Genomic DNA, 24,816 nt, shown 5'->3' with positions numbered 1-24,816 from the left:
GCTGGGCGCAGTGGCTCACACCTATAATCCTAGCACTTTGGGAGGCCGAGGCAGGCGGATCACCTGAGGTCAGGAGTTCGAGACCATCCTGGCCAACATAGTGAAACCCTGTCTCTACTAAAAAATACAAAAATTAGCTGGGCATGGTGGCGCATGCCTGTAATCCCAGCTACTTGGGAGGCTGAGGCAGGAGAATTGCTTGAACTTGGGAGGCAGAGGTTGCAGTGAGCCGGGATCGCACCACTGTACTCCAGGCTGGCAACAGAACGAGACTCTGTCTAAAATAAATAAACAAACAAACTGAGGTAGGTCTCTCATCGCCATTTTACTAATGAGGGAACTGAGGCATAAAGTTATGACTTTATGCCAGAAATCACTGTAGAAGTGACTGTAGAAGGCATTGAAGGTACAGTTATCAACAAAATGGATGTGGGCTTCTGCTACCTTGGCAGCACTCACAGACTTCCTGAAAGTCAGAAAATCAAATAATCCTTAAAGTGTGATTAAAGTTATGATAGAGGAGGCAAAGCCTGCCATCGTACCTCCTAGTTAGGGCCCCTCTAATGGGTGAAAAGATGCTTTTTTTTTTTTTTGAGACAGAGTCTCACACTGTCGCCCAGGCTGGAGTGCAATGGCGCAATCTTGGCTCACTGCAACCTCCACCTCCCGGGTTCAAGCGATTCTCCTGCCTCAGCCTCCCAAGTAGCTGGGATTACAGGCGCCCACCACCATGCCCAGCTAATTTTTTGTATTTTTAGTAGAGACAGGGTTTCACCATGTTGGCCAGGCTGATCTCGAACTCCTGACCTTGTGATTCGCCTGCTTCGGCTTCCCAAAGCGCTGGGATTACAGGTGTGAGCCACCGCACCCGGCCTTATTTTTTTTTTTTTTTTTTTTTTTTTTTGAGACAGGGTCTTGCTCTGTCACCTAGGCTGGAGTGCAGTGGCATGATCTCAGCTCAGTGCAATCTCTGCCTCCCAGGTTCAAGTGATTCTTGTGCCTCAGGCTCCCAAGTAGCTGGGACTACAGTAGCTGGGCCAGCACACCCAGGTAAGTTTTGTATTTTTAGTAGGGATGGGGTTTTACCATGTTGCCCAGGCTGGTCTCAAACTCCTGACCTCAAGTGATCCACCCGCCTCAGCCTCCCAAGGTGTTGGGTTTACAGGTGTGAGCCATCACGCCTGGCTGAGATGCTTTCCTGTGCATGTAATCTTTCAGCTGAGATCTCAGTGATGCGTAAGAGTTATCTAGGTGAAGACTGGAGGGAGTGGAGAAGGGACGTGTTTCAGGCAAAGGAAACAACATATGCAAAGAATCTAAGATTTCAGTGCACTTTAAGAATGTGAGGAATTCGCATAAGACTGCAGTGTGGAGTTTGTGGTGGAGACTGTGAAAAGTGTAGAGAGGGAATCTGTAAATGACATTATAAAATGTGGAAAGTCTAAGTCAGGAGAGTAGCAGGGCATATGTGTTTTAGAAAGGTCACTCTGGCTGCTGTGTCAGGAATGGTTGGAAGGGGAGCAGAACTATATGCAATGAGAACTATATGCAATGAGACTAGTTAGGAAATTATATCATCCAGGCTAAAGGAGTGGTAGTTGTGGGGATAAAAAGTAGGTAGATTGGGAAAATATAAATTGAAGTGTTCAGTAATCAATTGAATCAATGTGGGTGGCGAGGAAACAAGATAAATTCAGGTTGGCTGCTAGGTTTCTGGCATGGGAAATAGGGCATACTTTCTATGTGCTACAACAGATGATAGTATTTCCTCTATCATAGTGATCATTATTACATCATATTTTCATTGTTATGAGTGGGCAGGGATCATATTTTTTTGTTTTGTTTTAAGACAGAGTCTCGCTCCGTCACCCAGGCTGGAGCGCAGTGGCATGATCTTAGCTCACTGCAACCTCCGTCTCCTGGGTTCAAGCAATTCTCCTACCCCAGCCTCCCAAGTAGCTGGGAGTACAGACACCTGCCGCCATGCCCAGCTGATTTTTGTATTTTTATTAGAGATGGGGGTTTCACCACATTGGCCAGGCTGGTCTTGAACTCCTGACCTCAGGTGATCTGCCTGCCTCAGCCTCCCAAAGTGCTGGGATTGAGCTGGATGTGAGCCACTGCACCCGGCCCCATATTTACCATCTTAATTGACAATGCCTAGCACATAGTTCCTGCCCGGCATATATGGTAGTAAACATTCAATAAATATTTATTAAATTATTTTATTTATTTATTTTGAGACAGGGTCTCACTCTGTCGCCTAGGCTGGAGTGCAGTAGCACTATCACGCATCACTGCAGCCTCAACTTCCCAGGTTCAATAGATACTCCCACCTCAGCCTCCCGAGCAGCTGGGACTACAAGGCACACACTGCCATACCTGGCTAACTAAAAAAAATTTTTGGCCAGGCGCGGTGGCTCACGCCTGTAATCCCAGGACTTTGGGAGGCCGAGGCGGGTGGATCACGAGGTCAGGAGACCGAGACCATCCTGGCTAACACAGTGAAACCCCGTCTGTATTAAAAATACAAAAAATTAGCTGGACATGGTGGCGGGCACCTGTAGTCCCAGCTGCTCAGGAGAATGAGGCAGGAGAATGGCATGAACCTGGGAGGCGGAGGTTGCAGTGAGCCGAGATCACGCCACTGCACTCCAGTCTGGGCGACAGAGCAAGACTCCGACTCAAAAAAAAAAAAAATTTTTTTTGTAGAGGCAGGATCTCACTATGTTGCACCTCAAGCTCCTAGGCTCAAGTGATATTCTGCCTTGGCCTCCCAAAGTGCTGGGATTATAGGTGTGAGCTACTGTACCAGGCCAATATTTATTGATTTCATATTAAACTAAATAGTGGTATTGGGAGAGAAACAGGTTTGTGATAAGTTCAGTTTGGTTCATACTGAGTTTGTCGTACCTGTGAAATACTCAAGTGGATTTTCTGGTGGACAGTGGATTAGATGGGAGCCCCAGAGAAAGATCTGGACTTGAGATACAGTCCTTAGCAGCACATGGAAATCATTTGAGCTGGGGAGAGAATAAGACCACCCAGGGAGGGTATGCAGAAAGCACAGGGCACAGGATCTCAGATAGGCTTCTGTGGTTTAAGGAACAGGCAGAGGAAGGTCATTTCTCATGCCACAGACAAGGAACTGCCAGAAAGGTAAGAGGGATACCAGCAGAGTGTTTGTAGGAGAGAAAGGTCAATTGTGTTGCCTGCTACTGAGATGTCAAGCAACATAAGGATTGCATAAGGACTGCAGGATGCTCAGGCAAGGTCGGGGGTGACTCTATTGAGGAGTGACTTTGAAAAGGTGGCGGAGTGAGGGGACAGGAAATGGAGATCCCCTCTACAGTGTAGGCAACTCAAGAAGTTCGACTGTAAAAAGAAAGAGAGAGGCTGGACTCGGTGGCTTACGCCTGTAATCCCAGCACTTTGGGAGGCTGAGGTGGGCAGATCACGAGGTCAGGAGTTCGAGACCAGCCTGGCCAACATAGTGAAACCCTGTCTGTACTAAAAATACAAAAAAAAATAGCGGGCATAGTGGCAGGCGCCTCTAATCCCAGCTACTTAGGAGGCTGAGGCAGGAGAATCACTTAAACCTGGAAAGCGGAGGTTGCAGTGAGCAGAGATTGTGCCACCGCACTCCAGCCCAGGCAACAGTGCAAGACTCTGTCTCAAAAAAAAAAGAGAAGAAGAAAGAGAGAGAGACATATATATGGTGGTACCTGGAAAGCCCAGTAAGGGGAGGTTTGTCTAAAGATGGGAGAGACTTGGATATGTTTAAAAGTGAATGCGACGAAGCTAACAAAAACAAGCTAAAGTATAGGAGAGAGAGTTTCAGAGAAGGCAAAAAAAGGGTGGATTCAAGCACTGAACACCAAATGAATAAATAAGTGAATAAATGGGTGAAATTAGTCACTATTTTGGAAGTGGGAAGGAAGAGTTGAGGGGTAGGATTCTCCATGTGTTGAAGTGAAGTAAACTAGGAAGATCACTGAGGCAGAAGCCCAGTACTAGCCACCCAGCCCTCAGGGGAAGAGAGCTGGCTCTCTGATATCACCAGTGGGGAGGGTCATTCGCTCCTTAACCCACCTCTCCAAACCCAAACAGAAAGCCTCACATTGTGCAGTGGAGAAGCTGAGAGAAGAGGAAAAGAGGAGTGGCCAGGTAAGGCAGAAGCAGAAGTGTGGGTTTTAAAGTGCTGGTAATCCAGGGAAGGTCACTTCCCACCTTCCACCAAGGAGAAGCTGGCATCAGTCCCCTATCTACCTGTCATAGCGTCTTGCATTACTTGTCCATTGTTCCTGATTCAATTGTAATTATTAAGTTTATTGTGTCATTAGTTAAGGTCTGTCTCTCCTTAAGCTCCAAAAGGGCTCATTCCCTTCTCTCATCTCCAGTGCCTGACACTGCTCCTTGCACGCAGGAGGCACTCAATCAATCCTTGATAAAAGCATAAATGAGGCCGGGCGCAGTGGCTCACACCTGTAATCCCAGCACTTTGGGAGGCTGAGGCGGGTGAATCACCTGAGGTCAGGAGTTCTAGACCAGCCTGGCCAACATGGTGAAACCCTGTCTCTACTAAAAATAAAAAAACTAGCCAGGTGTGGTGACAGGCACCTGTAATCCCAGCTACTCGGGGGACTGAGACAGGAGAATCACTTGAACCCGGGGGGCGGAAGTTGCAGTGACCCGAGATCTCGCCATCACACTCCAGCCTGGGGGACAAGAACGAGACTTCGTCTCAAAAAAAAAAAAGCATGAATGAACCCACACACTAAAGTAGCTCCTGCCTCAAGAGGCTTGTGTGTACAGGACAGTATCAAGGCTTCTCAGCTCCCAAAATCGTGTCCTGGATTGGGAGGGTGGTGATATTTCAACTCTGAATCCCTCTGTGTTTCTCCCACTTTGTCTTTCTCTCTGATTTGGTCTTGGTATTTATTTGGCTTTCTGTTTCTCTGTCACCATGTCTCTCTGAGTCTGCACAGGAAGCACGCAGCTATGGTCTGAGGTGACTGGTAACGGAAACATTGATGCTTGCATAAATTTAATAAAGAATAACACACATTTTTGTCTTTGTCATTAACCTTGTGTCTCCCTGTTTCTGTCTTGAACCTGATTCTTTCTTCTTATCTCCTTCCTGTGTCCACCTCAAGACTCCCACCACTACCCAGGACCAACTCCTGCTCCTGAATCTTCTGATGGGCCCCACAAGGTACTTGGAGGAAAACTACTGGCCTAGGTCATCTCCTCTAATTTCCTGCCTTGCTGGCCATGCAGCCCTGCTGACCACATCCTCTCTCATGTTACTTACATACTTCCTCACCAGACACCACCAGGAGTTCTCAGCCCCCAAAACCTGTCACCGATCCTCACCAGGCTGTTTGCTCTACCCTCTCCCCCAACTCAAGGGCTCCCGTCCTCACCTCCCTGCAACACTGCTCCTAGAACCATGTCTGTCTACCTGGAGACAGCCAGGCCTATTCCCTTCTGGGTCTCCAGTGTCCCTTTTTCTCACAGGTGACAGTGCTGGCTACAATGCTATCCAGCCGGTGGTGGCCAAGTTCCTGGGGGATCCTAGGGCTGGGCCCCCGAAGCCCTCCTCGGGGATCCCAGCTCTGTGCCCTCTATGCCTTTACTTATACTGGGGCAGATGGCCAGCAGGTGTCTCTGGCTGAAGGGGATAGGTTCCTACTGCTTCGAAAGACCAACTCCGACTGGTGGTTGGCAAGACGCCTAGAAGCTCCCTCCACCTCTCGACCCATCTTCGTCCCAGCAGCCTATATGATAGAGGAATCCATCCCTTCCCAGAGTCCAACTACCGTCATCCCCGGCCAATTGCTCTGGACTCCTGGTGAGTAAGCGCTAAGCCCTCTCCCTTCACCTTCCTACCTCCCATCACCTTCCTACCTCCCTGGCTTCTGGGAATTTTGGGGAGGTCCCCCTCCCTCAAGCTTCTGCTAACCATCTTCTCTTGTTTTTCTTTGATCAGCCTACCTCTTGCCCCCGCCATGGCATCCTCATCCCACTGCCTGTCCTCCTAGTCCTAAGGCTTCTAGGTCTCATGCCATTTTCCACATCCTCCCTCTGCCCTTCTTGTCTTCCCTGTGAGTTCCCAAGATGAGGGACCCAGTTACAACAACACCTCTGATCACCTGCCACCCACCCTCCCCTTTTCTGTTTCCAGGGCCGAAGTTGTTTCATGGTTCCCTGGAGGAGTTGTCTCAGGCCCTCCCAAGCAGGGCTCAGGCTAGCTCGGAGCAGCCTCCTCCACTTCCCCGCAAAATGTGTAGGAGCGTCAGCACTGACAATCTGAGCCCCAGCCTTCTGAAGCCTTTCCAGGAAGGACCAAGCGGAAGATCCCTCTCCCAGGAAGACTTGCCGTCAGAAGCCAGTGCCAGCACAGTGAGTCACAGCTCTTCTGAGCTGGGCCCTGTTCTAGGCACAGGACAGACAGCACCTCTGTCTTCAGGGGACTCCCCTGGGGATGACAAACACAAAAACAAATAAATAAGATAACGCTTGGTACTACTGATAAGTCTAAAGGCAAGTTAATGTGGTGGAGAGTGGCTGAGGTGGTGCGGGGAGACATCTGTGAGGTCACGGCATTCAGTTGACTCTGAGCAAGGAGGAGAAAGAGGCAGCCGAGAGGCAAACTGGGTAGGAGGTGAGAAGGGACAGTAGGTACCAAAGGCCCTGAGGGGACAGGGCACAGGGCGCAGTGGAGGCACTGAAAGGCCAGCCCTGTGCTCTTCCTTCCTCCAGACTCCTAGCCCAGGGCAGGGTTTTTCTGTGTTCTGCTTGCCTGATAGGCTACAGCAGGTCTCCTCTAGAGATGTGACTTGCCCAGCCCTTCCCTCTCTTTCTTAACCGTGGGTGGAAAGGGGCTCCTCTTCCCTTCTGTAGACCCTTCTCTGTCTTCTTTTACCTTGCAGGATGTGAGGGTGGGGCACCCCCTTCAACATTCCCCCCACCCCACAAAAAGCCTGTTCCCCTTTCCTGTGGCCCTGAGGTGGGGGTGGGGTGGGGGAGGCGGGAAGTTGGCAACAGGAAGTGAGGAGAAGAGCAAAGAAAACTGTGAGAGAGAGAATTTTTAAAAAGCAGCTGGGGCCTGAGGTTTCTCCCCCAGTACCCTGGGTCACCTCAGCCCAGAGCTGGCGGTGAGAAGACAATGGGGGAGGGAGCAGGAGGTGGGAAGGCCAAGAGAAGCATGGGAAGGGCAACAGGCAGAATGACCACCTCCTTCTTCCCCCTTTTCTGGCAGGCAGGCCCCCAGCCCCTCATGTCAGAGCCCCCTGTGTACTGTAACCTGGTGGACCTTCGCCGCTGTCCTCGGTCCCCACCCCCAGGCCCTGCATGCCCCCTGCTGCAGAGGCTGGATGCCTGGGAGCAGCACCTGGACCCCAACTCTGGACGCTGCTTCTACATAAATTCACTGACTGGCTGCAAGTCCTGGAAGCCCCCGCGCCGCAGTCGCAGCGAGACGGTGAGACCTTACCTCCTGCTTCTCCACTGTCCCCTCAAGCTCTTCCTTCCCCTGATGAACCTCAAGGTAGTGTGTTTTCTCTCCGGGGCTCTCAGAAGATCAGAAGAATCAGCCAAGTATAAGAAGGGTGTGGAGAGTGGGTAGAGGTGGCATCTGGATGTAGCTTTATTTCCTCCTCCCCTAACCCAGAACCCTGGCTCCATGGAGGGGACACAGACCCTGAAGAGGAACAATGATGTCCTGCAACCTCAGGCAAAGGGCTTCAGATCTGACACAGGGACCCCAGAACCGCTTGACCCACAGGTGAGATCCCTCCCATCTCCCAGTCACATGCAGAAAAAGCCAGCTTGTTATGACTTTCTGTTTTGTGTAAGACATTCTCCATTCCCCACCACACCCCCCACCTCTCACCCGTATCCCACCCCTCTTCCTCCTTCAGCCAGGGATCCCTGAGTCGAGCGTTTCCCCACCTGTTTCTCCAATCCTCTCCCCTAGGGTTCACTCAGCCTCAGCCAACGCACCTCGCAGCTTGACCCTCCAGCCTTGCAGGCCCCTCGACCTCTGCCGCAGCTCCTGGACGACCCCCATGTGAATCTCCCATTTCTTTGTGAAGGCCAAGATCCTCCCTGCCCCCCCTCCCCCCTTTTCCTGCTCCACATAAACATCTTCCTCTTTCTGAATATCCTCCTACCCAGCCCTCCCCCAGCAACTTTAAGGGACTTCACTCCTGGGAGACCCCCTAGGGAAAGCCGTGGCCACTATGGAGGGCGAGGGTGACTTACAGATCCCATTCCCTCCACTTCCCAGGAGGTGGAAAAGTCGGGTCTGCTCAACATGACCAAGATTGCCCAAGGGGGGCGCAAGCTCAGGTGAGAACCCAGAATACAGCTAGGGCCTGGGCTGTCAACTCCATAGGGTAGAGCAGGGTGTTGGAAGAGCACCCTCCTCGTGTCATTCTAGAATGACCTGTTCGCTACCACTACCTCCCCTCTCTGTCCCCGCAGGAAGAACTGGGGCCCGTCTTGGGTGGTGTTAACGGGTAACAGCCTGGTGTTCTACCGAGAGCCACCGCCGACAGCGCCCTCCTCAGGCTGGGTGAGTGTGAGCGAGAGGCGCAGGATGGGTGCGGGCGCTGCCTACCGCCTCACGCCAATGTGGGGGCGGCAGCGGGGAGGGCGGTGCAGAGGAAAGTAAAGAAGTGAGGAAGCCTCCCACCTCCTCACAGCCCACCGGGGAGAGGGAAGCAGTGAAGGAAACAACACCGTGGCCTCAGTTTCCTCCCTCATTGTCAGGGACCAGCGGGTAGCCGGCCCGAAAGTAGCGTGGACCTGCGCGGGGCGGCCCTGGCGCACGGCCGCCACCTGTCCAGCCGCCGCAACGTCCTGCACGTGAGCGCCCTCCCGCGCGTCCCCAAGGCCCCACCCGACCCGAGGGCGCCCCCAATCTCCCGCGCAGGCCTCCCGCTAGGTCTCCCTGCTTATTATACTCCTTCCCGTTGACCCGAGCGTTTCCTTGCCTGGCCCTCAGATCCGCACGATCCCTGGCCACGAGTTCCTGCTGCAGTCGGACCACGAGACAGAGCTGCGAGCCTGGCACCGCGCGCTGCGGACTGTCATCGAGCGGCTGGTTAGATGGGTGGAGGCCCGGAGGGAGGCTCCGACCGGCCGGGACCAAGGGAGTGGGGTAGGAACGATAGGAGTCAGGAGCAGTTGGGGGCAGGGTGGGCTCAGTGGAGAGCCCTTGCCTGGGCCGGGATGTGGGACCCCGGCAGTGGGTCAGAGTCCAGCTAGGGATACAGATTTCTCTCCTCTCTCACCTTCGACACGGCCCGCCCCGGGTCTAGGATCGGGAGAACCCCCTGGAGCTGCGTCTGTCGGGCTCTGGACCCGCGGAGCTGAGCGCCGGGGAGGACGAAGAAGAGGAGTCGGAGCTGGTGTCCAAGCCGCTGCTGCGCCTCAGCAGCCGCCGGAGCTCCAGTGAGGCGCGGGCTGGGGAGGGAGAGTCCGGGAGCGCAGCGAGGCTCCCGGGCGCTCACGCCCCGCTCTACCTGCCTCCTGCAGTTCGGGGGCCCGAAGGCACCGAGCAGAACCGCGTGCGCAACAAACTAAAGCGGCTCATCGCGAAGAGACCGCCCTTACAAAGCCTGCAGGAGCGGGGTCTGCTCCGAGGTGAGGGGGCTGGGCCAGGTTCATGGATAAGAAAACTCCAGCGAGGCTCAGAGTAGAGCTTCCCAGAACTAGACCACAACCTTCTGTGACTGCTGCTTTCCCACTACCCCAGATTGTTTAGGGGAGAAGCTGGGGTGACCTGTACCCCTTTGCCAGATTGTTTGAAGCAGGGGAAGGGAGGTGGAGTGTATTTCCTTGCCCAGGCCTGGCACAGGCAGCCAGGAGGACCAGCCTCACTTAAGGATAAAGACCTATGCTGAGAAGAGCTCCTGTGAGTGACGCTGGCACTGGCTTCCCGCCTCACTCTACTTCCCCAGACCAGGTGTTCGGCTGCCAGTTGGAATCACTCTGCCAGCGGGAAGGAGACACGGTGCCCAGCTTTTTGCGGCTCTGCATTGCTGCTGTGGATAAAAGAGGTCATTTTCTCAGAGACCCCAGAATCCTCTTCCAACAGGCTAAGGCCTAGAATTTTCTGCCTCCCCCATTCTACCTAGTCTTCCTACTGCCCTTTTTCTCTCCACCCTTATATCCCTCACCACACACACTTTCAAGCAGCAGTCCTTATCTACTCCTTCCTCATCTCCCAGGTCTAGATGTGGATGGCATTTATCGGGTGAGCGGGAACTTGGCAGTGGTCCAGAAGCTTCGCTTTCTGGTGGACAGAGGTGAGAAGGCTTGTGGGCCAGTGGTTGTACTAAGAATGTCTTGCCTGAGAACCATGGGCGGTCCTACATGAGGAAGCTGGCAGAATAGAGAGGCCGTCAGGCTGGAAGTGTATGTCTTAGCTCCTGATCTCTCCTCATTCATGTTGCAGAGCGTGCGGTCACCTCCGATGGGAGGTATGTGTTCCCAGAACAGCCAGGACAAGGTACTTACATGGAAGACCCTTCAGATCCCTAAAACTTCCACATATCCTCTTTGCTTCCCGTGGAAACCCCCATGTACTATTCCTGGGAGGGTTGTCCTCATCCCCACCTTAGCTACCTTGCCCCACTGCAGACCCTCTAGGCATTCCTATAGTCTGCTTTGACTGGATTTCTCCAGAACTTCTAATCTCTCAGTCTCTAAATCTTTCTGGCCCTTCATGAGCCCCTATACCTCCTTCTCCCTCCAGAAGGTCGGTTAGATTTGGACAGTACTGAGTGGGATGACATTCATGTGGTCACCGGAGCCCTGAAGCTTTTTCTCCGGGAGCTGCCCCAGCCTCTGGTGCCACCACTGCTGCTGCCCCATTTCCGTGCTGCCCTTGGTAAGGGTTGGAGCTTTGGAAAGAACCCTTGATGTGGGGGACACGGGTGGTAAATAATAGAATAGAGGTTCCCTTATACTCTTCTTTCCCATTCTGACTTTAGAGATGGAAAATAATGTTCAACTCAGGTGCCTACTCCAGTTGCTTTTTTGTGAATGTTTAGAGGGCTGAATTGAAAAGAATTATGAGGCTATAGTTGGGCTATGTGAAAAAGAAAGCTGTGCTAGATTAATGATGTCTTCCATGCCTGTGGGAAAGAGCAGTGCATTTACCCATCCTGTCCTAGCACCTTCCCTAACCTTACTACCATGCCTTTCCCATCACTCTCTCTAGCACTCTCCGAATCAGAGCAGTGCCTCTCTCAGATACAAGAATTAATAGGCTCAATGCCAAAGCCCAACCATGACACTCTACGGTACCTCCTGGAGCATTTATGCAGGTCAGGAAGACAGAACCTCTTTGTTCATGCTGGGGAAAGGTGGAGTGGGGAATGCCACAGGGACTCTGTGCAGGTGGAGTGAAGGTAGGGAAGCACCTAAGTTTAATGGGCAGGTGAGGAAGCAGGCAACCTCTGTGCAGGAGCATATTACCAGAGTCAAAACCTTTATTTTTTTATTTTATTTATTTTTGAGACAGAGTCTCGCTCTGTCACCCAGACTGGAGTGCAGTGGCGCAATTTCAGCTCACTGCAACCTCTGCCTCCCGGGTTCAAGTAATTCTCCTGCCTCAGCCTCCTGAGTAACTGGGATTACAGGTGCCCGCCACCACGCCTGGCTAATTTTTGTATTTTTAGTAGAGACGGGGTTTCACCATGTTGGCCAGGCTGGTCTCGAACTCCTGACCTCAGGTGATTTACCCACCTCAGCCTCCCAAAGTGCTGGGATTACACCGTGCCCGTCAAAGACTTTAGGTCAAAACCTAAAGGTCAGCATCAAGTGGGGAAATGGAACCAAGATGCTGTGAAAGGAATAAGGGAAATCTTACTTCTCCCTTCCCTCTGCCTCTTTGTCTCCCATTGGGACATTGCTGATGGCTTCTTTGGTTGAACTGGGCCTGGGCAGTGACTTCTGAGAGAGGATGGCCACTTGAATTAAAGACTCCCAAACTGTGAGCAGGCAGAACTCTTGGGGCAGCCCCTGAAGTCGGAAGAGGCAGTTATATCTTCAGGTTGTATCCTGAAGGTTTCTCCACTGGTCCATCTCCATTCTCCTTGTATCTCCTTGGTTTTTTTGTTACCATGTGGAGGAATCCCAGAGTGAACTCTTCCCTGCTCAGAACTTTGAAGGGTTAGTTAGATTGCTATGAAGTGGCAAGCTGCTGCCATATATCCCCTTCCTTGGCCTTTGCTTACAGGGTGATAGCACACTCAGATAAGAATCGCATGACACCCCACAACCTGGGAATTGTGTTTGGACCAACCCTGTTTCGGCCAGAGCAGGAGACATCTGACCCAGCAGCCCATGCTCTCTACCCAGGGCAGCTGGTCCAGCTGATGCTCACCAACTTCACCAGCCTCTTCCCCTGATGCAGGGAAGGAAGAAGAGAAAACATATTTCCGGTCATCTCTGGTGGTGAGAGGCTGGTGTTCTGTTTTGAGGATATCCCTTTAAATCTCCCAAATGACTGTCTCTATCTTCATGAGTGTGACTTGAGGTGTTGGGATGGGTGAGGGAGCTTCTCTAAAGAGGAAAGTGAGTGGATTAACCCCTGCTTCTCTTCTTGTTCCCTGTTATCATTCCTCCCCAACATAATAATACATAAAGTGGCATGGTATTTTTTCTGATGCAGTTCCTTTATTATCAGGAAACAGTGTCATTATCAAATTTCTCCTCAAAACGTATACAGACTATACATAGCCCCCAGCCCATACCTCCCATCCCTGGGGCATCTTGTGCATGGGACTGCAGCTCCCCCAATTTTTCTGGAAGGATAGAAACCCCTTAGGAAATGCGATCTGTGATGGATGAGATTCCCTACTCTTTAGGCACTAGAGTTGAGGAATTCTGTTTCCCCAGGTAGGGATCTCAGTAAGACACTCATGTTGCCCACAGCCATGTTGGGGGGCCCAGAGGGAGGTGGGGTATGTCCAGAGCTGCCCCGCTGATCATGGGAAGGAGGAGGACTCAGCCCCTGGGGCTCATCCAGAATAGCCACAAAGTCCAGCTGAGTGTTGTCAAGATCAAGAGAGTCCAGGGGGTTACATACCTGTCCTTCGGGAGGAGGGTACAAGGCAGGACCCCCTCCTAGCCTGCCCACCTCAGGATGACCACAGCTGGGGTTTGTGCCTCCCACTTTGAGAGGCCCATAGCAAGTGGGCAATGGGGGCAGAAGTCGAGGTGGTGCTGCTGCCCTATGTGAAGCCCTATTTGCCCCCACTACAAAATTTTCATGGCATGGTGAAGGGGTGGGATAGGAACCTGACTTGTGATTGGGCAAGTTGGGTCCAAAGCCAGGTCCATATGTGTTCACTGGAGCTTTAGCACGGCTTGGGCTAACCTGGGAACCCCCCAGAAACTTGGGACTCTGGTAGGAAGGTTCCTGGGCGGGGGCATCTTCCCTGCCCCCACCCTCCCACAGTAGCTCCTGTTGAGATTGAACATAATTACACACAAGCTGAGCCTTGAGCTGCCCTGTGGAATGGGTGGGGGAATCAAAGTCCAGGCAAGGCCTGGGTTCTGAAGGAAGATAATCAGGGGGTGGCTGGGTATAGGGGCCTGACTGGAGATATTGGGGAGGAGAGGGCTGGGGGTAATGGGAAAAGAGAGGCTGTGGATGTGGGGGCCCCTCACTGGGGTGGGCATTGAGGCAGGGTGCCAGTCCTGTGGAGTCAGACCCCACTGGGCACCCCTGTTCTGGCTTGACTTGCACTTGTCCATAATGTTCAAGTCGAGGACACTGGCTGTAGGTTCCACCTAGAGCCTTGGGGCCTGGGTACAGCCCAGAGTGGGAAGGGAACTCACCCCATGTTTCTTGGGTGGGGTCAGGATATGAGGCCTGCTGGGGACAGGGGTTGGGGCCATAGTTGGTGGGTGGACCAGGCCCAAGAGGCAGAGAGCCTGGACCCCTCGCTCCATAAGGCTCAGCTGCTGCCCCTTCAGGTCCCCCATATCCCAGAGTATCAGTAGGTGGGAAGTCCATATAGGGGTTCAGACCACTGCCCACCATGGAGGTCCCAACTTCTGGCTCTTCCTGTAGCCCTCTAGCATCCATGGCAGCATTCTCAGTGATGCTGGGGGGCTGTGGTGAGTAGACAGAGGTTGGGAGGTAAGGATCAAAGTTCTGTCCTCCCCCTGCCACAGTGGGTGGGGTATGGACACAGCCCAGGCTCTTGAACCTCTGGACTCTAGCTGGAGCAGGACGGTCAGCAGCCTGGGCTGGGTCACTGGCCCTCCGGGTGACCCCTGCATTGGGGTTGTATCCTGGATACTCGGCTCGGCTTCTCCAAGGAGGCATGGGAAGACCACCTATCCGATCCAGGCTGGATGCTGCAGTGGGCGAAGTACCACCCCCTCTGGCTGAAGCATATCTTGCCCGAAGCAGGTAGTGCTGGGCAGGCATAAGGCCAGGCAGGGAGGATGCTCCATTCTCTGGTGGGGAGCCAGGGGGGAAAGGAGAGGCCAGGGAGGAGCGGCGGCTGACAGTATAGGCAGAGCTGATGCTGCTGGAGCTGCTGCTGCGGCGTTCAAGAGAGACTGGGGGGCCCACGCGGCGGGACACAGTGGTACCTGCAAGTGATGGGGAGAAAAGGTAGGATGGTCAAGGAGCTTCCTAAATTTCACCCTGCCTCCTCCATGCAACAGCCTTGCCCTGGATTCTCAGGGGTAAGCTCGTTATCCCTAACCAGTCTGTTCTGTCTCCTACTTCTCCCATGCCTATTCTGTTTCTGGGTTACCAAGGATTCAGGGTTGCTATGAACAGTTGTGCAGGTTGTGTGCTGCACAATCCTAGGGAACAGCATTCGCATCATAGCCTTTGCATACTTGTTTGTTTGTTTGTTTTGTTTTGTTTTGTTTGAAACAGAGTTTCGCTCTTGTTGCTCAAGTTGGAGTGCAATGGCGCAATCTCAGCTCACTGCAACCTCTGCCTCCCAGGTTCAAGCAATTCTCCTGCTTCAGCTTCCTGAGTAGCTGGGATTACAGGTGCCCACCACCATGCCTGGCTAGCCTTTGCATGTTTGTACATCACAACTATTTTCTGATAAATGGAAAGTGTCTTGAGGAAGGACACCATTTTCTAATTATACAAAAGTGCTGTGTGACAGCCCTCAAGGGTGACTTCCTCCTCTCAACCTCAGGGCAGGTCCAGATCTCACCCCAGCCACACCTCCCACACCCAGGTCTCACCGGTGTGGGACAAGCTGGGCAGTTTGAGACCCCGGGTCCCTATTGGCCGGAGTTGATGTAGCTGGTCCAGCCTGAGGTTCTCAAGGCGGCGAAGAGTGGACAGACCAGTGCCAGCAATGCAAGGTCCCTCGTCCAAGCTGGAGAGGTCTTCAGTGCTGCCCCCTGCATTGCCAGTCATTTCCACACCACTGTCTGTATTGGCTGCACTCCCTGCCGGGGAGTGGTCACTGCTGCAGGATGACTGGGCCCCAGGGCTTGGCTGTGGCTTCTGTGGAGAAGATGAGGTCTGAGGGCAACACCCTTCCCCACAGCTCCTTCAACTTGATGAGTGGCTGAAGCCTGTGTCCCAGTGACTGCTGGGGTTCCAAGGAAGCTTGTAAGTGTAGAAAGGGCTAAGCAGGTAAGAGATGGGGGAGCAAACTGAATGTGAGACGTTTGATGAGAAGAACCTAGGCTGGAGCACGGACTGGCTGGACTCAAATTCTTGCTCTTAGTTCTATGACCTTGGGCTATTTCTCTATGCCTGAGTTTCTTCAACTGAAAATGGGAACAGTGAGTCCCTTTATCATGAAGTTGCTGTGAGGAGTACATGAAATTATACATGTAAAAGGCTTGGAACATATACTAAGTGCTATTTAAGAAAGAGTTGCCGGGTGCAGTGGCTCACGCCTGTAATCCCAGCACTTTGGGAGGCCGAGGTGGGCAGATCACGAGGTCAGGAGATCAAGACCACCCTGGTTAACACAGTGAAACCCCATGTCTACTAAAAATACAAAAAAATTAGCCCGGCGTGGTGGCAGGCGCCTGTAGTCCCAGCTACTCAGGAGGCTGAGGCAGAATGGCGTGAACCTGGGAGGCGGAGGTTGCAGTGAGCCGAGATCATGCCACTGCACTCCAGCCTGGGCAACAGAGCGAGACTCCGTCTGAAAAAAAAAGAAAGAGTTTGGGTTGGATGCATTGGCTCATCCCAGCACTGTGGGAAGCTGAGGTGGGAGGATCGCTCAAGGCCAGGAGTTTGAGACCAGCCTGGTCAACATAGCAAGACTCGATCTCTAAAAAGAAGAAAAATTAGCCAGGCATGATGGGGTGTGCCTGTAGTGATCACTTGAGCCCAGAAGTTTGAGGCTGCAGTGAGCTATGATTATGCCACTACACTCCAGCCTGGGCGACAGAGCAAGACTCTGTCAGAAAGAAAGAGAGAAAGAGAGAGAGAGAGAAAGAAAGAAAGGAAGAAAGGAAAGAAGGAAAGAAGGAAGGAAGGAGAGAGAGAAAGAGAGTGAGAGAGTGAGACAGAAAGATTCTAAAACCTCTAGATTTGGGGAAGCCCAAAGAGCAACACTAAGACAAGAGACAGGCAGACTGGTCACAGAAGAGTGACTTCTATAGGAGGGAATGGATGGGTTGGGAAGTAACTAGAAAGATGTCCACAGGGTGGGCTGGGGTATGGAGGTGAGGGTTGCCTGGGCTCTCTCACCATGGCACCCTCTGGCACAGTCAGTCTGCTTTCCTCCCTGATGGGACCTCCTTCCCGCTCCCTCTTGGGCTCCACTGTAGAAATGGATGGTGCCCGAGGCAGGGGGCCATCCCCACGGTGCCGTTTGGTCACATGGGCGTCAGGACCATGCACTGTCTTGACATGTTTTCGCAGCGAGCTAGGATCTGTATAGCGTTTGGTGCAGCCAGGGAGCTTACATACATACGGCTTCTGTTGAGTGGAGAGTGGAGACAGAAGGCAAACGGATCAAAGCGGAAGAATGCAGAAGAAATGGGAAAAAGTGGTGACAACACAGGGGGCAGGGGAGGAGCACACAGCACCAAAGGAAGTAAGGAGGATGGAGGCCTCCGGTGGGAGTCAAAGATGCAGAGATTAAGTGGAGGGTTAGGAAAACTGACAGCCTGGGAAAGATGAGGGGGTGAACCCAGGGCTGTGAGGTCCCATAAATCCAGGGGTTGGAGGGATCAGGGGTCTCCTCTAGATGGAATCTTTTAGGTTAGCCTTTTGGCTGGTTAGAGGTTAGAGGTAGGAGGAGGAGTGGTTAAGTGGAAATTCTGGGTTTCAGAAAAGCCTTTTCTGGGCGAATTATGTGGGGAGGGGGACTCACCTCTGTGGAGTGGGTGCTGGGCTAAGGGATTTCTTATGGGGGAATCTCCCTGGTAGGTGGCTTCTCAAGAGGGGAGGGTCGCTTAGTTAGGGCATTCACCTCATTGGAATGGGTCCGATTCTGGTGCTTGGCTCGGTCACTGGCATTGCTGAAGGCTTTACTGCAGCCCTCGTGCTCACACATGTATGGCTTCTCACCCGTGTGTGACCGCAGGTGCGTCTTCAGGTTTTCGAGGCGTGAGTATGACTTCCGGCACCCTTCAAACTGGGGGACATGCAGGGGTCAAAGGATAGTTCTCAGACAGAGGACATGGAGATGGAAGGAACCCTCAATCTCCAACAGGACACACATCAGAGAATATAACTCAAGATGAAAGGCACTGGGGCTTCGAGAGAATTCCCAAAACTAGGGGACAAGGGCAGGCAAGAACTTGGAGAAGGGAAGCAGTTGGAGGCACTCTCCCTTTGGGAATATAAAGATGCTAGAGCATCTTCTGACCAAGCCAGGGCAGATTTCTCTGCATGGGGATCTTAGGCTGTCCCAAGATGGGGTCATCTTGGGGGAACGGGCTGTTGTCCTTGATGCAGGGTTTATCCATTAGGCAGAGTAGTAGGCACAGTACTGAAGGCCAACAATACTTTAAGAGGCCCACGAACATGTTTTAATGTCTTTTTTAAAAAAAATTTTTTTTTTGAGGCGGAGTTTTGCTCTGTCGCCCAGGCTGGAGTGCAGTGGCGCCATCTCAGCTCACTGCAACCTCCACCTCCTTGGTTCAAGTGATTCTTCTGCCTCATCCTCCCAAGTAGCAGGGACTACAGGCGCCCATCACCACGCCCAGCTAATTTTTATATTTTTTAGTAGAGACAGGGTTTCACCAATATTGGCCAAGCTGGTCTCGAACTCCTGACCTTGTGATCTGCCTGGCTCAGCCTCCCAAAGTGCTGGGATTACAGGTGTGAGCCACCGTGCCTGGCCTGTTTTAATGTCTTTTAAAATCAAGGGGAAAAAAATGAGCTTTTAGGTCCAAGAGTGTTTTAATATATATCATCATATTCATCTTTATGCCAACACAGTCACACAAACATTATTTTTAATATTTGTTTATGGAAGAAAGGACTTATAAAAGCAAAAGTCTGCCTTGGGCCCTACCTTGAAGGAGAGCCCTGATTTAGGAAGAGACCCTGGACTTGGGACACTGGTGCCTCACCGTGCACTTGTGTGGCTTCTCGCCAGTGTGTCTGCGCATGTGAACCACCAGCATGTACTGGGCTTTGAAGGGCCTCAGCTCCCTGGAGCAGCCCCCCCAGTGGCACACGAACTCCTTCCGCTCCCCGTGGATGTGCTCGCTGTTGATGTGCTGAGGGAGAAGATACAAAGGCTCTCCAAGGCTCTCCCATGACCCTGAGGTCCAGAACAGACCTTCCCTCCACCCCCTGTTCCTCTTCCACGACTCCACCTCAAGGAGGAAGAGGCAGGAGCAATATCATATCTCACATCTCAGGTCTTCCAGCTCCCTAAGGCAAAGCTACAACTTCTGAGCTTCTGCCTACCCAACTGAGCATTCAACCTCAGTCTCCTCTGACCTCCTGCCCTCAGCCGGATTCCACCATGTCCCACTCAGAATCTCCTAAAGGTTCTGGCTAGCCATTCCTGTTACCCCCTGGGGCTCACGTGCACCAGCTGCTCTTGGGAGTCAAATTCCTGGCTGCAGCCATCCCAACGGCAGTCAGTTTCATACACAGATTCAGGCTCACGCTTCTCCTCTCTCTCGAGGTCCTCCCGCCCATCCAGCATCCCCAACAGGGGATCCTAGGGCAAGAGAGGCAATCTCAGGGTCACTTGGGTGACAGCTTTAGTTTTGCTCAGGTCCCAGAGGTAAAGCTCCTGCCCATCCCCTTACCTGTATGCCTGTGGAGTTGGGGCTGGACATATCACCTTCCAAGGGTTCCTCCCGGCACTTGCCAACCAGCATGTCCAGCTCAGACTTCAGCTTCCCCAGGGGAAGAGGTGACGGTGATGAGGGTGGAAGTAAGCAGAAGGAAGAGGAAACCAAGCCAGGTCTTCCTGCCCTAAGTGCCCCCACCCAAGCAGCTGGAACCTCCTGGGTTTGGAAGGGACTTCCTCCTCAGACTACACTGGTGAATGGGATGGGCAAAAGGTGGGATCCCATTTGGAAGCGTCTGACTCAACTGCAAGGAGTGAACCCCAGCACCCACACCTCTTTACTTTTCTAGTACTGAAAACTTATATCCCTTGTCCTTCCTTCACCTTTCCCCTACAAAATCCACCACCCACCCACCCTGAGCTGAGGGAAATCAGGTAGCAATATGGGGACTCTCACCTGGCAAGTTGGGAAGGGTCCCCGGGACTGAGGATGTGGGATCATCCCACCCCGGGCAGAGTCATGGGGACCACAAGGCTGGACCCCAAAGGAAGGCGAGGGCCCTTTTTGGTGATTCATCTGGGCTGGGAATCCCAGAGATGGGCTGAGGAGGAGAGGAGGCAGTTACTTAAGACAATTAGGAAGTCTCAGGAAGGATTGGGCTATTTGGAGGATTTCTGGAAGACTTGGGATTTGTAGTGGTTGAGGCAGTCCCAGGGAAGTACTGAGGAGAGTTGTCTTTGAAATGACAAGGATTCAAATAGGGTTAGGTAGTTTGAGGGCTTGAGACTTTTAATGGACTTGGGTAGGGGCTTTAGGGGCCTCTTGGCCCGGGGCTGACTGCACCTCATGGTGCCAATGGAGAGATGACCGTAGGAGCCTCCTGGAGATGTGCATCGCGAGTTGATGAAAGCTACGAGGGAGCTGGGTGAGGTGCGGATAACCGTCTGCAGGTCCAGGCTGGCATCCGACAGAGGTGAGATGGACAGTGCCCGCTTCTTGGTCAACTTGACTGCACTCCGGGGAGAAGAAAAGAGTGGGCCTGGGGCAGGAGACAGCGGAGACGGATATGGTAAAGGGGCATGTCTCTCCATGCACCTAACCTATGGGTCCTGACTTGGCAAAACCAATGATACTTGATTCTGCTTTGCCCTATTGATGCTATCTGTGACTTTTTTTTTTTTTTTTTGAGAGACACAGAGTCATGCTCTGTAACCCAGGCTGGAGTGCGTGGCACCATCTTGCCTCACTGCAACCTCTGCGTTCCCAGGTTCAAGTGATTCTCCTGCCTCAGCCTCCCCTGTAATCGGCACTACAGGTGCAAGCCACCACGCCCGGCTAATTTTTGTATTGTTAGTAGAGACAGGGTTTCACCATGTTGGCCTGGCTGGTCTTGAATTCCCGACCTCAAGCGATCTTCCTGCCACGGCTTCCCCACAAAGTGCTGGGATTACAGGCGTGAGCCACCGCGCCCGGCCCCATCTGTGACTTCTTGATGGTGCTCTGACGCCTCACATCTCCAAGCATCTCCTCCTCCAAGTGAGATCCCCTGCCCTCCCACTTTCTCTTTCAGAACAAGTCAGAGAGGGGCAGAAAGGGAAGAGGTGTTGCCTGAGCCCTCACCCTCGGTGCAGCTGTTGGTCTCTCTGGCTGGCCCATAACTGTGGGGGCCGGACATGAGGTTAGCTTGGTGGCAGAAGGGCGGGCCAGACAGTCCTAGAAAAAAGAGACAGCTGGAATGGGAATGGAGGATACATAAACCTCACCTTAAAACCCCAGACATGACCTGATCCCAGATTCCAGGTCCATATGACATGGGGCCTCAAATCCTCCTGTAGATAGGAAACTGGCATGGGGTGGGGGTGGGCCCAAGTGGGAGATCTGCCAAATCCTCAAGGCCCAGGGATTGGTATATACACTGACCTTCTGTCCCCACACTGGGGGCCCCCTGACTGGGGAGGGGCCGGAGACAGCAGGGCTCGCCATAGCTACTGATTGGTGGTGGGGTCATCGAGTTGAACATGGCGTCTCAGAGGAGGGTGTGGGGACACTGCAGAAAGGGAAGGTAGGTATAAAGGTGGAGGAAATAGAGACTGTCAGACAGCAGTCTCAGGCACAGAATCCTGGGCAGAACATCCCTGGTATCCCCCACCCCTCTAAGACATCTGCCACGGAATTCGAGTTGAAAAGAGCATCACTGAGCCGGGCACAGTGGCTCACGCCTGTAATTCCAACGCTTTGAGAGGCTGAGGCGGGAGGATCACCTGAGGTCAGTTGAAGACCAGCCTGGCCAACATGGTGAAACCCCCGTCTCTACAAAAAAACAAAAATTAGCCAGTCATGATGGCGGGTGCCTGTAATCCCAGCTACTCGGAAGGCTGAGGCAGAAGAATCGCTTGAACCTGGGAGGCGGAGGTTTCAGTGAGCCGAGATGGTGCCACTGCACTCCAGCCTGGGTGACAGAGCTAGACTCCGTCTCAAAACAAAAAAAGCATCACTCGCTGAGTGAGGGGAGGGGTAAGGGGAAATGATGTCCCAGAGAGGCAGAGGCAGTCTTGTAGTCTGTGTACTCTGGGGATCTTCTTGGGAACTGGGTGGGAGCTTTGCCTGGGTGGGAGCTTTGCCTGTGTGGTCTGTGTGTAGAAGGCATGTTTTGGACTAATTGTGCCTATATTAACTTCAAGTGATTTTAGTAACATGGACCCTCTAATTCTTCTTGCTGTAACCCTGGGCCGGCTTTGAGGGTGGGATGGGAGAACTCGTGTGATGGATCTGACTTCAAGCACTGGGCGGCTCTGCTAGAGCCCGTTCCCCCTTCCTTCTCGTGCCCCTCCCCAGGGACAGCCCGTGTACAATCTCTGCAGTGTCCAGCAGAGGGAGCCCTAGCCACAGTCCCGACACAGAGCCAGGTGGGGCCAGGAGGGAGCACAAGCCATCTGCCCTCTTAGACAGAAAACAGTGTGGAGGAGGAGGTAAGGTTCCTGAGGGGAGTCTTCTGGGTCTGTTGGGCACAAAGGTGAAAGCTGGTGTTATTCTGGGGTAGTTTAAATCAGGCCCACCTAATCTTTTTGGTCTCTGTTTTGGGGGAACAGGAAAGGAAGTATGAGGGGAGACTCTGAGAGAATGAAAAAAACAATGTGATCCTTATAAAAGCGTAGCGAGGAAGAAGGTGCTGCTGTCCGTTTTTCTTTTCAAACTCCAGTTTTGACTCCATCCCGGGTTTTCCAGTCTCCCGGGAATGAGGGTGGGGTGGGGCGGGATGGGGTGGAGAACCACCGGGAGCGGGCCGGGCCGGCCGGCGCGGTGGGTGATCCCGGGATGCTGGGATTTAGGGTGAGGGCGGGGTGAGATGGGGAGCGGAACCCGGACCCCGCGACCCAGCCCGGCCCGGCAGCCTGGGCTGTACCCTTTTCTAACTCCTCCTTTTCCAACCGAGGTGCGGATCCCGCATCCAAGACCTCCCAACTCGACCTTGGAACTAATGTTGGGGGGCGGGGGGCACAGCTGGTTGGCAGCTGGATGGGGGGACAATTCTCCCGCCTCCTTCCCTCTATGACTCACCCAGGGGAAGGAGGGAAGTTTGCAAATGATCCCCCAAACACTAGAGACTCCCCCAAACTTGCCTACTCAGTCATCTTTCTGCCCCACTGCCTAGCTGCCGAAGAGCCTCCAAGGAAATGGGGCTACACCCCTCCTCGCCCACGCGTTCCACAGCCCACCCATATCTCCCCTTCAGGCTAGTAAAAGGAAAATGTCGCCAACTTTTTTAGCTTCGGTAAAGTTTTTCTGGGGTGTGAGAGTTCGGGATGGGACAGGGAGCTCTAGGGTTCCCCTGCCGGAGCCCTAAACCATCTTCGGTGTCTCCCTGTTTTCCAGCGTCCCCCTCGCACCCCCGCTCCCCAACTCCCAGGAGTCGGCTCCGCCCCCCTACTCCCGGTCCCGCCTTCCCCGCCCCCGTGCCTCCTCGGCCCACCCAAGTCGCCGCCGCAGGCACTGGCTGCAGACGGCTCCGCTCCCCCCACCCGCCCCGGGAGCCCAGTAGAGCGAGCCATAGGGGTGGGGGCTGAGGGGCGGGCCACATTCTTCCCTCCTCCTCTCAGCACATCCGGAAAGCAGGCAGTGGCGCCCAGGGGGGCACTACTGGAGAGTGGGGGTCCCCGTTGGTGGGGTTAGAAAGGGAGAAGAATCCAGAAAGTATAGGGGAGAGAAAGCAGAGAAAGTGACTGGGTCAATAAAATTAGGTGTGTATGGGGAGGAGGAGGGGCCCGGACACCTTAGGTTGCTGGTTATAGCAGCCGGCTTCCCAAGGGTTAACCCCTCCAGACCCCCGGGAACCCCCTGGTGACGTCAAGGGCGGGGATGCCAGGGAGATAATGGTGGAGGGGGAGAGGTCTCTGGACCCCGCCCCCTAGGGAAAACCACACTTATTCCGACCCTTACATATCCCCCGGGAAACCGCCCGCCTTCTCCCTCTACTGGAACGTAAAGACCTATCCTAGAAGACCCCAGCTCTCCAGACCCCTAAAACCCTCAGTCCCCAGGCTCTACGGGGTCCCCTTTCCGTAATCCTGTCCCGAAAGCTAGCTGCCCAGTGCTGATTGTTTCGGGGTCATGGGACCTGAAAGAGGATTCAGAGCGGGGAGCAAGGGCAGGCAGGGTGGTCTGAGCCAGAGGAGGGGCCTCGATCCCCAGCTCCCGTTTGGGCGGGGTGCCAACGGGGATACACAGGCTGGCAGTGGCCAGTGGTCCCGCCCAGCCCCGGTAGGGGTCTCCCTGCGGCTGGCTCCCGCTGCCCCGGTGGTCCTGAGGTCAGAGGGTCAAGACAAGGTCTCCCCGGCTCCTCCTGAGCTCCTTGCCCACAGCCCTTGGGACTCAGGAGTCCAAATTGCATGGGGTCATTCTAGGGCCTTCACTAGACCTTGGACAGCCCCCCCCCGCCCCAGCCCCCTTCCAAGTCCAGAAGACACTCCTTTCCCCTAAAGCACAAGCATCCACTGGCACATCTGTCACAAGACAGGTCAAAGGTTCAAGCCTGGCTGGCCCCTAGTGGCTCTGTTGCCTCCCACACACCCGTCCCCACCCCACCTGGAGCTCCCTCCTTTGCAGTCCCCACCTTTCAGAAACACTGACATCTTCCTACCCCACGCGCAGACACACACCTGGGGTTACCTCTCTACAACGCAGACCTCCAGCTAGCCATCCCTCCAGCCTCTTAAACTTAACCGCATGAAAGTAAGATATTTCTAATATATGGGAGAGGCGGAGACAAAGACCCACGGTTCCCTGAGACAGAGATACACAGACTGACAGAAGAAAAAAAGGGAAGAAAAAGAAGATACAGAGAAAGACACAAGTGAAAAATCTGGAGTTTCTAATGTCTCACCCCAGGCTCTCCCACCCCTATTTTGCCTCTATGTCCCGGGTCTGGGATGAGTCCCTAAGAAGCTGAGCATCCCCTCAGGCCCCCTCCCCCACTGCTCCCAGGTGGTCCCCCGCCTGCCCCCCCTTCTCACCTCTGTCTGGGCGCTGGGCTCGGGATGCGCGGTCCAGGGCTGGAGTCTGGGCTGGGGGGTGTGCGGTGGGGAG

The 24,816-nt window shown here is 53.6% G+C and overlaps 2 protein-coding genes and 1 long non-coding RNA gene across 32 annotated transcripts in view, besides 7 other annotated features; 2 read left to right on the top strand and 1 right to left on the bottom strand.

Annotated features, from left to right (window-relative positions):
• ARHGAP9 (Rho GTPase activating protein 9) overlaps positions 1-12,676 on the top strand; it is a 16,556-nt gene extending 3,880 nt beyond the window's left edge. Inside the window, exons 2-21 of one of the 26 annotated variants that reach the window (NM_001319850.2) lie at positions 982-1,050; positions 4,111-4,167; positions 5,157-5,215; positions 5,521-5,854; positions 6,188-6,405; positions 7,265-7,486; positions 7,676-7,789; positions 7,982-8,074; positions 8,294-8,355; positions 8,491-8,581; positions 8,779-8,874; positions 9,014-9,169; positions 9,330-9,462; positions 9,547-9,654; positions 9,972-10,070; positions 10,242-10,319; positions 10,469-10,522; positions 10,769-10,903; positions 11,237-11,342; positions 12,257-12,676. In NM_001319850.2, the coding sequence (NP_001306779.2) occupies positions 5,539-5,854; positions 6,188-6,405; positions 7,265-7,486; positions 7,676-7,789; positions 7,982-8,074; positions 8,294-8,355; positions 8,491-8,581; positions 8,779-8,874; positions 9,014-9,169; positions 9,330-9,462; positions 9,547-9,654; positions 9,972-10,070; positions 10,242-10,319; positions 10,469-10,522; positions 10,769-10,903; positions 11,237-11,342; positions 12,257-12,428 (2,253 nt within the window). In that variant the 5' untranslated portion in view covers positions 982-1,050; positions 4,111-4,167; positions 5,157-5,215; positions 5,521-5,538 and the 3' untranslated portion in view covers positions 12,429-12,676. Of the gene's footprint in view, positions 1-981; positions 1,051-4,110; positions 4,168-5,078; positions 5,216-5,337; positions 5,855-6,187; positions 6,406-6,855; positions 6,945-7,077; positions 7,161-7,264; positions 7,487-7,675; positions 7,790-7,981; positions 8,356-8,490; positions 8,582-8,778; positions 8,875-9,013; positions 9,170-9,329; positions 9,463-9,546; positions 9,655-9,971; positions 10,071-10,241; positions 10,320-10,468; positions 10,523-10,768; positions 10,904-11,236; positions 11,343-12,256 lie in introns of those variants that run through there. The other 25 variants (XM_011538656.3, XM_047429329.1, XM_047429330.1 and 22 more) reach the window with 25 other exon arrangements.
• Positions 4,666-4,755: an enhancer, noted in NCBI's record as "active region_6542". NCBI's record gives its function as "activates an Ori minimal core promoter by ATAC-STARR-seq in GM12878 lymphoblastoid cells {active_cell/tissue: GM12878}" and the evidence as "EXISTENCE:reporter gene assay evidence [ECO:0000049][PMID:35858748]".
• Positions 4,926-4,975: an enhancer, noted in NCBI's record as "active region_6541". NCBI's record gives its function as "activates an Ori minimal core promoter by ATAC-STARR-seq in GM12878 lymphoblastoid cells {active_cell/tissue: GM12878}" and the evidence as "EXISTENCE:reporter gene assay evidence [ECO:0000049][PMID:35858748]".
• Positions 6,496-6,545: an enhancer, noted in NCBI's record as "active region_6540". NCBI's record gives its function as "activates an Ori minimal core promoter by ATAC-STARR-seq in GM12878 lymphoblastoid cells {active_cell/tissue: GM12878}" and the evidence as "EXISTENCE:reporter gene assay evidence [ECO:0000049][PMID:35858748]".
• Positions 6,906-7,105: an enhancer, noted in NCBI's record as "active region_6539". NCBI's record gives its function as "activates an Ori minimal core promoter by ATAC-STARR-seq in GM12878 lymphoblastoid cells {active_cell/tissue: GM12878}" and the evidence as "EXISTENCE:reporter gene assay evidence [ECO:0000049][PMID:35858748]".
• Positions 7,556-7,685: an enhancer, noted in NCBI's record as "active region_6538". NCBI's record gives its function as "activates an Ori minimal core promoter by ATAC-STARR-seq in GM12878 lymphoblastoid cells {active_cell/tissue: GM12878}" and the evidence as "EXISTENCE:reporter gene assay evidence [ECO:0000049][PMID:35858748]".
• Positions 8,155-9,044: an enhancer, noted in NCBI's record as "H3K27ac-H3K4me1 hESC enhancer chr12:57869684-57870573 (GRCh37/hg19 assembly coordinates)". NCBI's record gives its function as "activates a minimal SCP1, AML or CMV promoter by ChIP-STARR-seq in naive H9 embryonic stem cells {active_cell/tissue: H9 hESC(naive)}" and the evidence as "EXISTENCE:reporter gene assay evidence [ECO:0000049][PMID:30033119]".
• Positions 12,677-24,816, bottom strand: part of GLI1 (GLI family zinc finger 1) — a 12,484-nt gene continuing 344 nt past the window's right edge. The window contains exons 1-12 of one of the 5 annotated variants that reach the window (NM_005269.3): positions 24,744-24,816; positions 21,154-21,280; positions 20,854-20,946; positions 20,077-20,272; positions 19,690-19,834; positions 19,249-19,338; positions 19,020-19,157; positions 18,556-18,705; positions 17,448-17,612; positions 16,721-16,951; positions 15,247-15,514; positions 12,677-14,628 (exon numbers count right to left, since the gene is read on the bottom strand). The exon at positions 24,744-24,816 is cut by the window's right edge and continues 344 nt beyond it. In NM_005269.3, the coding sequence (NP_005260.1) occupies positions 12,884-14,628; positions 15,247-15,514; positions 16,721-16,951; positions 17,448-17,612; positions 18,556-18,705; positions 19,020-19,157; positions 19,249-19,338; positions 19,690-19,834; positions 20,077-20,272; positions 20,854-20,946; positions 21,154-21,253 (3,321 nt within the window). In that variant the 5' untranslated portion in view covers positions 21,254-21,280; positions 24,744-24,816 and the 3' untranslated portion in view covers positions 12,677-12,883. Of the gene's footprint in view, positions 14,629-15,246; positions 15,515-16,720; positions 16,952-17,447; positions 17,613-18,555; positions 18,706-19,019; positions 19,158-19,248; positions 19,339-19,689; positions 19,835-20,076; positions 20,273-20,853; positions 20,947-21,153; positions 21,281-24,389; positions 24,669-24,743 lie in introns of those variants that run through there. The other 4 variants (XM_011538189.3, XM_011538190.3, NM_001167609.2 and 1 more) reach the window with 4 other exon arrangements.
• The window catches only part of LOC124902947 (uncharacterized), a 5,531-nt gene continuing 2,687 nt past the window's right edge, over positions 21,973-24,816 (top strand). Inside the window, exon 1 of the long non-coding RNA XR_007063335.1 lies at positions 21,973-22,202. This is a non-coding gene — a long non-coding RNA (uncharacterized LOC124902947). The remainder of the gene's footprint in view (positions 22,203-24,816) is intronic.
• Positions 23,163-23,212: a silencer, noted in NCBI's record as "silent region_4581". NCBI's record gives its function as "represses an Ori minimal core promoter by ATAC-STARR-seq in GM12878 lymphoblastoid cells {active_cell/tissue: GM12878}" and the evidence as "EXISTENCE:reporter gene assay evidence [ECO:0000049][PMID:35858748]".

The sequence above is a fragment of the Homo sapiens genome, chromosome 12 (genome assembly GCF_000001405.40).
Source record: "Homo sapiens chromosome 12, GRCh38.p14 Primary Assembly".
Classification (NCBI taxonomy): domain Eukaryota; kingdom Metazoa; phylum Chordata; class Mammalia; order Primates; family Hominidae; genus Homo; species Homo sapiens.
The sequence above is the reverse complement of the archived record's forward strand: the minus strand, read 5'-3'. Positions and strand labels throughout refer to the sequence as shown.